Below are 14,076 nucleotides of genomic sequence, written 5' to 3'. Positions count from 1 at the left end.
TGACCACCAGCTTCTCCTAGCACTTAATGAATTGTCCTGGGAACTGTCTGCCTATCATGGATGCTAAGAGGCCAGCGTCCTCCACCCTCAGTGGAAAACCATGGCCTGTAGGTTCACTGTCAATTGTGAAAGAGGCTCCAAATGTTCATGTAGAAAATGGGCTTTAACTGTTGTTTAGATTTCTTGGGTAGCTTCTTCCTTTTTGTTTTGTTTTGTTTTTAAATAATTTCTGGAATGTCATTTCAGAAAGCTGGTTTGCAAGCTATTTGGAGATCTTTTGACTATGGTGTTTAAGAGTGGCATTCCTCTATTTGTAAAACTGTGTCACAAAAGAAAGAGATGTGTTCCATCAACCCCTGCCACGTGACACTGTCATTCTGTAGCTCAAAGTAAGCCCTGTGTTTTATTGAGAGACCACTTAAAATGTTTGTGAATGACAATTTACCCCAATAGGACATGTTCTTTATTTGTACACAAGATACATCTGATGAAACCACACCGGAAGTTAAAGAGTTTTCTTTGGGGTATTGGTTTTTGTTTTTTTTTTTTTTGGAGACAGCCTCACTCTGTCACCCAGGCTGCTAGAGTGCAGTGGCACTATCTTGGCTCATGGCAGCCTCTGCCTCCGAGGTTCAAGCACCTCTCCTGCCTCAGCATCCTGAGTAGCTGGGATTACAGGTGTGCACCACCACCAGCCTGGCTAATTTTTGTATTTTTGGTAGAAATGGGGTTTTGCCATGTTGGCCAGGCTGGTCTCGAACTCCTGGCCTCAAGTGATCTGCCTGCCTCGGCCTCCCAAAGTGCTGGGATTACCGGCGTGAGCCACCGCACCTGGCTGTTTGGGCTATTGTTTTAGCACCACCACTACTATTACTGCTTACTGCTAATAATAATAATAATAGGCTATATCTTGGGAATAAAGAGTCAGTCCCTTGTTTTTTATAGTGCCTCTTCTCTGTAGCTTGGTTAACCACAGAGTTAACCTCTGTAACATAATTGTCAATGACCTATAAAAAATTTACATGATTCATCTCAAAGCAAAATCTACATGTACACCCACATAGTATATGATAGAAAACATATGAGAGAATTTTAGCTAGTGATTTCCACAATTCTTAATTTTCTGTCTAAGCTCACTTTTTATCTGATACCATCAAAACTGTTCTATCAGATCCTCCATCACTGGGCATCTGTATTAGGCCATTCTTGCCTGGCTAGAAATACATAACACTGGGTAATTCACAAAGAAAAGAGGTTTAATTGGCTCACGGTTCTGCAGGCTGTACAAGAAGCATGGAGCTGGCAACTGCTTGGCTTCTGGGAGGCCTGAAGGAGCTTTTACTCATAGCAGAAGACAGAGTGGGGAGCAGGCACTTCACATGGTGAAAGCAGAACCAAGAGAGAGAGGGTGGGTGGGCAGGGAGTGCCACACACTTTTAAACAACTAGATCTCATATGAACTCAGAGTGGAAGCTCACTTAGCGCCAATGGGATGGCCCAAGCCATTCATGAGGGATCCACCCCCGTGACCCCAGCATCTCCCACCAGGCCCCACCTCCCACATTGGGAATTAAAACTCGACATGAGATTTGGGAGGACAAATATCCAAACCATAACAGCATCCTCGATCAACTGTGGGGCTTCCCCTCCTCCTCATTGTGCCAGGCTCTGCCATGGTTCTGGGATGTCCCAGGGCCCACAGTGCTGGGCTATCCAAGGCCTACCCTCCGGTCCATGCACTCCACCTCCCAGGGTTTCTGCCACTGGTCAACAACACCTCAAGCTACCCTGCCTCCAAGACATTCGACTCAACTTTCCTTTCTCCTCCAATTCAATCTCCTGTTTTTATGATGGTCTCACTTGTTCTCTTCAAGAAAATTTTTCTTCCCTGGTATAAATGCTTTCTCTGACACAGTTACCCCATCCCACTCTCAGGACTTCCTCTGGCCATACCTTCTTTCCTGCCAAGCCTGGACTCCATGATGAGTTACTTGAAACACGCTTTTACAAGCCCCCATAACCTCCTGTTTCTAATATCCTTCCAAGCCCCTGCCCTGAAAATCTCAGTCATGCACAGTCCCACAGCCTGGCTTCTCTACCCCATAGCCTGATGGCGCCATGACAGATTGATGTCGGGGCGCACGTTCACGGAGCCGCCAGCTTCGCAGGGGCATCTGCCATTGTGATGATAGCACCCTCCTCGTTGCCTTGTCTAAACCTTCACCACTCTCTCTGTCCTTCCTACGCAATAGCTCTATCATTACTATTAGGAATGATCCATTTCCCCATCCCAAACCCCTCCCCACCTGATAGGGTTAGGCTTTGTGCCCCCACACAAATCTCATCTTGAATTATAATCCCCATAATCCGCATGTGTCAAGAGAGAGACCAGGTGGAGGTAATTGGATCACGGGGGTGGTTTCAGCCATGCTTTTCTCGTGATAGTGAGTGAGTTCTCACGAGATTTGATGTTTTTATAAGTGTCTGGTATTTCCTCTCCTGTTCATTCTCCCTCCTGCCACCTTGTGAAGAAGGTACCTTGCTCCCCCTTCACCTTCTGCCATGATTGTAAGTTTCCTGAGGCCTCCCCAGCCAGGGAGAACTGTGAGTCAATTAAACCTCTTTCCTTTATAAATTACCCAGTCTTGGACAGTTCTTTATAGGGGTGTGTGAATGGACTAATACACCACCCCACCCTTCCACATGCCCCTAATCATCTCTCTTCCATCCTCAATTGCTTTCTAACACTTCCAGAGAAAGGAGGATTATTCCTCCAGCTCCATGAATTAACTTTGGTACATCAAGTATCTCCATTTCCCGTATCTTCAACTTCTTCCTCTCTCCTTGGACATTCCTTGGGTTCTATAAACTTTGTTAAATTTCTCCCATCTTCAAAACAAACAGTAAGTGCAGTAATTTGACTCTGTATTCTCTTCCAAGAACGGACCTCTTTCCCCTTCCATTTATAGCCAAGCTGTGCTTGCTATCTCTACTTTTTCATTTCTCATTTACTTTTTTTACAATTTTACATTTTTGTACATTGTTCATGATTTTTATGTTAAGAACGCTAAATGCTATCATAAGAATATATCAAGCAACATGTAAAAACATAAAGAAGAGCATTTTAAATAATAGTGTTACCACCTGTTTACTGTTATTTTTCCATTTATTTATGCATTAACTTATTTTTCCACATCCATAAACATTTTACATACATATATATATATATATATACATATATATATATATATATATATATAGCCAACAGATAAGGAGACTTGGCCAGGCACAGTGACTTACACCTGTAATCTCAATGTTTTGGGAGGCTGAGGCAGGAGGATCACTTGAGCCCAGGTGTTCAGGACCAGCCTTGGCAACATAGCAAGATGCTGTCTTTACAAAAATGAAATTCAGCAGGTGCAGCAGGATGTGCCTGTAGTCCTAGCTATTTGGGAGGCTAAAGCAGGAGGATCACTCTGCTGTAATGAGCTGCGATTGTACCCATTATGCTCCAGCCTGACCGACAGAGTGAGACCGTGTCTATAAAAATGAAAAATAAATAAATAAGGAGACCCTTTTAAAATCTACAACATTATTATCATACCTAAAAAGAAATAAGCAAAACTTCCTTAATATCATCGGATCTCCACTACTCTAACACTTTGAGGACTGCCCTTCCAGATTATTTCTATTTATAGATCTACAATGTCAGATACATCCATTTTTATTAAAAATACAATCTTACTACATTTGCTGTTGTAAACCTGTCTTTTCCCCTTACTAATATCTTGTATCTTTCTAAATTCCAATGGAGCTTCATGCCATCATTTTTAAAACCTGTCCAGTAGTATTCTGTATAAATAGATCATAACTTATTTAATCAGTAACCTGTATATGCCTACAAAGTGTTAAGCTACAGTTTTTCTTCTCTATTATAAATAGTGTTGCTACAAACATCAATATTTGTTTTCATGCCTTATTTGGGGGACAAGGCTCATCTTGTCTCTCAGCCGTAGGGAATTTACTATAAGAACAACAGAAGGATTTAATTTCATATCTTTTTAAATAATTATCCATTTGTTAAAATCCTTTCACTCTTGAGCTACTGCAGTTAAATTTCCACCTCCACCAATCTGTCCTCATAAAAGGACATCTGTAATTTTGTTCTTTTTTTCTTTTTATTTTTTTTAGAAGCAGGGCCTCACTCTGTTGCCCAGGCTGAGAATTCAGTGGCATGATCGTAGCTCACTGCAGTCTTGAACTCCTGGGCTTAGATGATCCTCCTGCTTCAGCCTCCCAAGTATCTGGGACTACAGGCTTGTCCCACCACATTGGCTATTTTTTTTTTAATTAGCAATGAGGTATCACTATGTTGCCCAGTCTGGTCTCAAACACCTGGCCTCAAGTCAAGATCCTCCTGACTCGGCCTCCCAAAGTGGTGAGATTACAGGCATAAGCCTGGCTCATAATATCTTTTTAAATTTAATTTTAAGTTTTGGGGTACCTGTGAAGGATGTGCACGTTTATTACATAGGTAAACATGTGCCATGGTGGTTTGCTGCACCTGTCAACCCATTACCTAGGTATTAAGCCCAACATGCATTAGCTATTTTTCCTCATGTTCTCCCTCCCCCCGCCCCCCTACCCTGACAGGCCCCAGTGTGTGATGTACCCCTCCCTGTGTCCATGTGTTCTCATTGTTCAACTCCCACTTATAAGTGAGAACATGCAGTGTTTGGTTTTTCTGTTCCTATGTTAGTTTGCTGAGGATAATGGCTTCCAGTTCCATCCACGTCCCTACAAAGGACATGACAAAATTGCCAAGTTCAGTGCATAAAGGTCTTCACCCTTCCTTACTTCTCTGCAGGATTTGGCATTCTTTGTCACTCTCTTATTTTTGCAGCTTTCTTTTCCTTGGGCTTGTATAAAAACGACACTTTCCTAGATTACCTCCTACATCTGATCTCCCTGCCTTAGCTTTCCTCTCCAGATTATCTTCATCTCTCTGTTTCCTGGGAGGCTCTAAGTGACTCTCTGCTTTGTGTTTTCCATTTTCTCATCTGGCAATGCAGACCAGCTGGCAGGCAGCTTAGGTACAGCTGGATAGGCACAGATGGGCCCCAGACCAAGCATGCAGAACATCAGAGGCTTGGCGAGTGTACCTGGGGCCATCGGGAACGAAGAGCAGGTTAGCATGCTGGAGTGAAGGACCTTGGGTTCTTGGTCAGAGAAGAGGCTGGAGAAACCGGCCAAGGCCAGCATGTGAGGACCTGTGTGTGCCATGCTAGGGAGTCTGGACTCCGTCCTTCTGTTTGTCTAGTAGGTTTTTCCAGGTTTTCATGACATACTGAGCACTCTCATTTCATCTTTTGTGATGCAGCCTACATCGGCCATGTAGAAATTTCTTTTCTTCATTCCATAGAGATGGGCATACTATTATTGCTCCTGTGACTACAAAGAGAAACTGTGTGAAAGAAATCATAATTCTCAAGGGTGGGAGTGGGGAACAGAAAATTAGGTCTTTGTATTCAGTGGGTCTAAAATAAAGAATGTTAATGCGATATTCTGTGTGATTTATTGGAATTCTCAAAATATTTATCCAGCCAGCAGATGGACCCAGCATGGAACCTGAGATAAAATAGTAAGTTCTAGGACATTTGCAAAACGAACTCAGGGCTGAAAACAGACTCCACTGCAGCACAGTGAACATGTAGCAGACTTTCGAAAAGTCATTTTTGTCAGGGCAGAATTTTCTCCTAAAGGAGTGCAGGAACGTGGGGTTCAGCCATGTGGATGTGGGGTCTTTGACCACATCAGGCTGTTTCCCCAAATGAGGTTGGCACCTCACTATTCTGTCACCTCAGGATTCATCTCCCCATACAGAACGTTCCTCAGTTTAACTGGCCCCACTCTACAATGAGAGGAAAGTAATGAGAGAAGGATGGCTCATGTCTGAAACGTCACTTGCATGTTTTCTATCCTTGTGGGGAAATGACTTCTGCTTCAAATCTTCTCCTTGCAAGATAAACTTCCCAGGAATGCATTCCCCATGCTTCGTGAATTCCTGTCATTGAAGAGTGGAAAAGCTTGTTCCTTGTGCGTGCAGGTCATGTCACTGTTAAACACACTGCTGGTAATCACAGGTCTGGATCCTCATGTGAATCATATTCCACTGAGAAAAAAAAATTGCCTAGAGTTCAAGGCTAAAGAAAATGTAGCAACTGTTCATGTGTTTTTAATGTGGTATCTCCCACTTTCTTTTTGCAGCCTGCTGCCTCCCCAGAGGACACCCCTGAGCTCAGCGCCTTTTTGCGAAACTCTACTATTCCTCATCTTGTCAGGAAGAGGGATGTACATGTGGTCGAATTCCACAGACAGAGCCCTGCAAAAATACTGGTGAGTTATCCCAGTGTGCATAGAACTGAGGGAAATGAGTGGCTTGGATAGAACCCTCAAATACAGATAGTTTTAACTTCAAGGATTGTTCTTGGTCTCCTTCAGTGCTCAGATATTCCTAACGTTTGGCAGTGTTTATCTCGAGAATGAAAAGCAACTTTTCTGTAAGAATTAAGGAGCACTTGCAATATAACCTTTTCACTTTTCTAAAGCTGCCATGGAGGCCACTTTGGAGAATAATGGTGAAAACATCAACTGTGACCTTCAATCCATTTCAGGAACATACACTTTCAGTTGTTAGTCCGTGCATAGATGCTGGGCTGTGGTAGTTTGAAGTGAGCATGGACCCTTGGAGTTCTGCACCTGTCCCAGAATCTCAGAGCTTCTGCTTATCTGGAAGAGGCAAGAATGGTGTGTTCAGGGCTGGGTATGGTGGCTCACACCTGTAATCCCAGCACTTTGGGAGGCCAAGGTGGGAGGATCCCTTGAGGCCAAGGGTTTGGGACCAGCCTGGGCAACATAGCAAGACCCAGCCTCTACTTTTTAAAAAAAGAATGCTGTGTTCAGGTTTCCTGGGCCAAAACCCCTGCTGAGTCTTAGCACTGGGGTCTGTGGCAGCTCAAGCCTGAGCTTAGTTAGCCCTTAGCAATACTATCTTCAGTGTTCATGAGTCAGCACTTTTTTTGTTTGTTCGGAGACAGAGTTTTGCTCTGTCACTCAGGCTGGAGTGCAGTGGTGCAATCTCAGCTCACTGCAACCTCTGCTTCTCGGGTTCAAGCAATCCTCCTGCCTCAGTCTCCCGAGTAGCTGGGGCTACAGGCACATGCCACCATGCCCAGCTAATTTTTGCATTTTTGTAGAGGTAAGGTTTCACTATGTTGGCCAGGCTGGTCTTGAACTCCTGACCTCAAGTGATCTGCCTGCCTCATCTTCCCAAAGTGCTGGGAGTATAGGCATGAGCCACCATGCCCGGTCAGAGTCAGCATTTTTGATTCTATTCTCCCACTCATCCTATTGCGGCAGCTTCTAGTGCTTTATGTTTTCATGTGAATATTCATCCTCTTCCCTGACCATGTGGCAAGGGCTCAAAGTGAATGTCAGGGTTTATCTGTGCTCTGTAGACCATGTCCATAAAAAGTAGGAAGCTGCATGCACATTCTCCAGCTATGCAGAAGTAATCAGAGATCACCTCAGAAGCTAATACCCTTCTCAAAAGCAAGCAAACAAGAGAAGTGGGGATGGTGAACAGGTACAAAATATAGTTAGATAGAATGAATAAGATCTATTGTTTGATAGCACAACAGAGTGGCTATAGTCAACAATTTATTGTACATTTAAAAATAACTAAAAGAGCATAATTGGAACATTTTGTAATGCAAAGAAATGAATGCTTGAGGTGCTGGTACCTCATTTACCCTGATGTGATCATTACACATTGTATGCCCATATCAAAATATCTCATAGACCCTATAAATATATACACCTATTACATAACCATAAAAATTACAATAGATATATAAAATAAGGATAAAGCAAGAAAACAAACATTCCGTGCTTGGGGCAGGGACAGGCTGGGAACACTGGGTCTGGTATGGGGGGCACAGACCAAGCACGTACTTCCTGCCCCATAGCTGCAGTTCAGAAGCTCAGTCCAAGATGCAGTGATTTGTGGTGACACTGAATCAAAGGCCACAGTGACAAGTCCAGGGTTATCCATCCAAAGCAGCAAGCCAAAGAGAGAGACCTGGCTGGGTATGGTGGCTCAGCCTATAATCCCGGCGCTTTGGGAGGCTGAGGTGGGCAGATCACCTGAGGTCAGGAGTTCCACACCAGCCTGGCCAACATGGTGAAACCCATCTCTACTAAAAATACAAAAAAAATTATCTGGGCGTGGTGGCAGGCGCCTGTAATCCCAGCTACTCAGGAGACTGAGGCAGGAGAATCGCTTGAACTAGGGAGGTGGAGGTTGCAGTGAGTCGAGATCGTGCCACTGCACTCCAGCCTGGGAGACAGAGTGAGACTTGGTCTCAAAAAAAAAAAAAAAAAAAAAAAAAAGAGAGAGAGAGACCCTGGCAGAAGACCGCAGGGCAAATGAGTAATAAGAAAGGGAAGGTGTTGGGAGGCCGAGGTGGGCAGATCACGAGGTCAGGAGATCAAGACCATTCTGGTTAGCGTGGTGAAACCCCGTCTCTACTAAAAATACAAAAAAAATTATCCGGGCGTGGTGGTGGGTGCCTGTAGTCCCAGCTCCTCGGGAGGCTGAGGCAGGAGAATGGCGTGAACCCGGGAGGCGGAGCTTGCAGTGAGCCGAGATCGCGCCACTGCACTCCAGCCTGGGCAACAGAGCGAGACTCCGTCTCAAAAAAAAAAAAGGGAAGGTGGAGGTAGAAGTGGAAGAGACTGAACCAAGGAGGGTGCTAGAGTTCTTTCTACAGGGGCAGCAGTCACAGTCCTGGCTGGGTTGAAAGCCATTAGACACCTAACCTACCTATGCTGCTGACCCTCTCCAGACTGGGTTCATCCCGGAAACTGTGAATGGCTCCTAGACTTGTTGAGGTGCCACGGTGCACTGACCCAAGGGGGCATCCTCCCTCCTTCCCTGTCCGCAGTCCTGACAGCCCATTAGGGTAGGTGGCATGTTTTTTTTCTCAGTGTTGTTTTCTCAACATGTAGCATAATACCAGCTCATCTGTTGAACAAACATGTGAATGACACAGTGAGTGAACTCATCACAGACAGTATTAATAGCTTTTGGAATCATTGTCTAAAATGCTCCATGGTGTGCCCTTCTATGTGTTCTTAACCTACATGCTCTTAATCCTAAATCCAATTATAAGCCAATGATATATTGCAAGCCGTTTAAAAGATAGTGTTGGTAGTGACCAAATTCATTAGCCACCAGATCTGCTGAATTCAAGATAAAATGTTATGACATGAATAAATGAAATCAGCCATTTTTTATGACAATGTTCAAGGATGCTTTGGGGACTAGAACTGCTCCAGCCATTTATGAAACTGAAATAATTCACGGTAGCTATCACTGAAGAAAGGAAATCAGTGCTCAAGAAATTGAATCCCTGATTTTCTCATCTGTAGAACGGAAATCCATACGCTTGATTTACATAACTGAAAAATTAAAGTTTAAGAAAGGATTTGCAATTCCCCCTTTGCTTTCTCTCTCCCTCTCTGCCTTGCAAAAAAGGTTTTTGCTTTTCCTTCACCCTTTCCCCATGCTTGTAAGTTTCCTGAGGCCTCCCAGTCATGCTTCCTGTACAGCCTGTGGAACTGTGAGTCAATTAAACCTCTTTTCTTCATTAAAAAAAAAAGAAAGAAAGAAAGAAAGAAAGAAAGAAAGGATTTGCAAAGATAAAATGTAATGACAGTAGGAGGGAATGTTAACAATCAGTTGACCCTTCAACTAAAGTGGAAAATGCACTGGGTATAAATAGTCTTCTACTCTCTCAGCCAATTTAGTGGCATCTGTGGGACCTGGGTGCATGTGCATATGTGCAAGTGTGTGGGTGCACACATGGTGGGGAGGACAGACACAGAGTTCCAATACAGGAGACAAGACTCAGGAAGGATGATGCAAGGGGTGGATCTGGGCAGCCCTGAGGCAGCCATGAGACCATGGCTTCATGCCAGAGAGGCACTAGCCCAAAAGAATAGTGCATTATTTTTTGTAATCCATAGACTTAGGGTACAAGGAGCCAGATGAACAGCCCCTCCCCCCATAGGCTCTGCCTCTCCTGCAGTTCTGAACTCAGGGCAATTCATCAGGGGGTCCCGGTCGGAGTTATCAGATGATACAGAGAAGGCTCATGAGTTTTTAAGGAAAACAAATGGGTGGCAAGCAGGGAGCTGCGGAAGTCCTAAATTAACTTCCTTTCCATTCCTGCACTCCTGTATTTACCTGGAATTAACTATTTTTAAAAAACAAAAGCATGACAAAATATTTTAAAACTCTGATAATAATTTATTTCAGTCCAATAAAGTAGGATAACGCCATATTAAATTAATCATATTCCTGAAAATCCCAAATGTGTTACCCATCATATGGATAACTTTTTTTTTTTCTTGAGACAAGAGTTTCACTCTTGGTGCTCAGGCCAGAGTGCAATGGTGCCGTCTCAGCTCACTGCAACCTCCGCCTCCTGGGTTCAAGTGATTCTCCTGCCTCAGCCTCCTGAGTAGCTGGGATTACAGGTGCGTGCCACCACACCTGGCTAATTTTTTGTAAAGACAGGGTTTCAGCATGTTGGCCAGGCTGGTCTCAAACTCCTGACCTCAGCTGATCCACCTGCCTCAGCCTCCCAAAGTGCTGGGATTACAGGTGTGAGCCACCATGCCCAGCTGGATAACTTTTTTTAGTCATAGCCAAGAGCCCTCAAAGAGGATATTAGGATAAAAGACATGTAAACAAATCCTAGTTCTGTGTCTCATCGATGCAGAAGTTTTCAAGAGTTTTACTTTGGGATGATGAAAAAGCTTTGGAGTTGGATGGAGGTGATGGTGGTACAACATTGTGAACGTACTTAATGCCACCAAACTGCACACTTTAAAATGGTTAAAATGGCTTTAAAAGGTGTGCCTTAAACACTCCTTGACATTCATTTATTTCATCTTGACAGTAGAAAATGTTTGAACTATGGAAATGGACAGAAAAATATAATGAGCAAATCTCAATCAGTTAAACTTAAGTCAAATGAAGCATTTGTTATGATAGAAGTAGCTGAAGTTACTTTTTGAAGACAAAAAAAAAAAAAAAAAACTATGGCAACTGGAAGATTGTAATTCAAGTAAATTTTTTTTTTCTTGAGATAGAGTCTCGTTCTGTCGCCCAGGCTGGAGTGCGGTGGTGCAATCTCAGCTTACTGTAACCTCGGCCTCCCGGATTCAAGTGATCCTCCCACCTCAGTCTCCTGAGTAGCTGGAACTACAGGTGCCCACCACCATGCCCGGCTAATTTTTGTGTTTTTGGAAGAGATGGGGTTTCACCACATTGGCCACGCTGGTCTCAAACTCCTGACCTCAAGTGAACGTCCCACCTCGTCCTCCCAAAGTGCTGGGGTTATAGGTGTGAGCCACCGCACCCAGCCTCAAGTAAATTTTTATGACACTGTAATGTTTAAGAAACATAACAGTAGGGAATCCATATACTATTCCTTTTAGGATAAATTAATAAAGCTCTGCATGTTATCATTTTTAAAAAGCTTCCATGGTGTACAATAGAACAGAAAACAATTGATATCATTCTCAGCAAACTAACACGGAGAACAGAAAACCAAACACTGCATGTTCCCACTCATAAGTGGGAGTTGAACAGTGAGAACACATGGACACAGGGAGGGGAACATCACACACCGGGGCCTGCCCGGGGGTGAGGGGATAGGGGAGGGATAACATTAGGAGGAATATCTAATGTAGATGACGGGTTGATAGGTGCAGCAAACCACCATGGCACATGTATACCTATGTAACAAACCTGCACATTCTGTACATGTATCCCAGAATTTAAAGTATAATAAAAAAGAGACATCTACAGAATTCTAATATGCAGTACCAATGGGAAAAATCCCTCTGAAAAACCAATGTCCAAACATATGCAGTATTAATGATTTGAAAAATCAAAGTTAGACAGGGTGTAGTGTCTCATGCTTGTAATCCCAGCACTGTGGGAGGCCGAGGCGGGTGGATCACGAGGTCAGGAGATTTGAGACCATCCTGGCTAACATGGTGAAACCCCGTCTCTACTAAAAATACAAAAGAAAAAGCCAGGCCTGGTGGCGGACGCCTGTAGTCCCAGCTACTCCAGAGGCTGAGGCAGGAGAATGGCGTGAACCCGGGAGGCGGAGCTTGTAGTGCGCTGAGATGGCACCACTGCACTCCAGCCTGGGAGACGGAGCGAGACTCTGTCTCAAAAAAAAAAAGAAAGAAAAATCAAAGTTCAAGTATGTTTTTTAATTTCCACTTCAGGGTATGTCTCATTAGTACACTGAGACAGTCGAGATCAATAACGAAATTTTTTTTGAAAATTGTATGTATTTGCGTTGCAGGGTCCATTTTTTTCCTTCTATTGTTTCTCTTTAAATGTTGATGTAAGATAATTTTAAACTTCCGAATATCATAAAAACTCTCAGATGAAGGCCAAGGCAGTTCTTGATTTCCATATCTGGTTTTGTTAACACATATATTACTCTCTTTCTCTCTTACTGGTTCAAAAATTGCAAATCTTATGACCCCCTATGTCCTGGAGTCAAAACAACTCTGGATAGAAAGTGATTATGCGAAGTTTATTCTAAAATCAAAAGCGAAATAAGACCTCCTACGTTTTTTGTTTAGTTAAAAACAACTTACTGAATCCCATTTCTGATGAGGAATTTGAAAGTGCAAAATGCCAACATCCTGTGTTGGGATCAAAATTTCCAATTTGCACAGGAAAAATTTGTATCTAAAACACTGAAAAATAATTTCTCCTCCGCCTAAGAATACCCTTCCCTTTCTCATAGTGGGCCCCTGCTATTTCTGTAGCTATCACCTCCATCTCCTCCTCTCCAAACTTTCCTGTCTTCTGTTTCATTGCCCAGCTTCCAGCCACCTTGCCTTTCTTGATGCCTCTCCAGCATTTGATACTATTGGCCACTTCTTGAAACTATCACATTTCTGAAATTCCCCCGAAAACATCCCCTCCTGGTTCTCTTTCTGCCATTTGGATGGTCTCTTCTTAGAAATTCTCATCTAAGATTTCTCTCTGCCCATCCTTTCAATGCCCCTGTTCCCCAGGATTCCATCCCAGCCCCCTCCTCTTCTCTCTCATCCATTTAATTTTTTGCATGATCATATTTCCAGTAATTCCTAAGTGCCTCCTGTCATCTCAGCCCTCCCTTACTGAATTCAAGCCTTAAAGGCATGATCTGGGTGTCTGAGAGCCACGCCCGTCCTCGCATACCCAAAACCCTTGTCTCCATGACTTCTCAAATGTACCTCCTCTCTAGAATCCCCAGTCTCAGTGTTACCAGCACCCATCCACCCCATTCTTCTCCAAAGAGCATTCTCCATGTAACCTCTGTGTAGTCATCATGTCTCTATTCTATTTCCTAAACTTCTCCAAAATTTATCTTCCTCTCTCCATTTCCACTGCCTCAGTTCAGGGCCTCAGCATCACTCACCAGGGGCTCTTGCAACGGGCCCCTATCACCCTCCTGCCCCCCAATCTTCCCTCTCTCTTCTCTTTCCTCTCATATTACCCATCCCTCTAAAATACAAACCTGATCAATATCCCCTGGATATAAAAGCATCACAGGTTCTCCAGTGCCTTCTGAATAAAATCTAAACTCCTTAGCATGCATAGGAAGACTCTTCATATAGACTTTCTCTCATTGCTATCCTACTTCCATCTGTCCATTTCACCCTCATATACCCTGCTCTTCCCTTTCTCAAGCATGCCCTGGTCTAGTACAACAGAATCGTGGGCCAGGTCTCCCATTCTGCTAGGTGACCTCCCATTCATACCTTCATGGCTCATTCCAAACATTGTCTTCTCCAGAATCCTCTAGCAGAGCTGGCTATCTGGGTTCCCCATCTGCAAGGAGTCTACAACTCCTGACCTTGACACCCCTCTTCCCTCTGAAGGGCAGGGTTAGTGGTACACAGCATGTCAGCCGTGAAGCACAGGTCAAC

At 43.8% G+C, this 14,076-nt stretch overlaps 1 protein-coding gene across 2 annotated transcripts in view; it reads left to right on the top strand.

Annotated features, from left to right (window-relative positions):
- The window catches only part of ITGA8 (integrin subunit alpha 8), a 205,969-nt gene that overhangs the window by 155,453 nt on the left and 36,440 nt on the right, over nucleotides 1–14,076 (top strand). For both annotated transcript variants that reach the window (NM_001291494.2, NM_003638.3), the window contains one exon: nucleotides 6,268–6,396. In NM_001291494.2, coding sequence (NP_001278423.1) covers nucleotides 6,268–6,396 — 129 coding nt within the window. The remainder of the gene's footprint in view (nucleotides 1–6,267; nucleotides 6,397–14,076) is intronic.

This window comes from Homo sapiens, chromosome 10, assembly GCF_000001405.40.
Source record: "Homo sapiens chromosome 10, GRCh38.p14 Primary Assembly".
Classification (NCBI taxonomy): Eukaryota; Metazoa; Chordata; class Mammalia; order Primates; family Hominidae; genus Homo; species Homo sapiens.
This window is presented reverse-complemented; position numbering and strand designations above follow the sequence as displayed.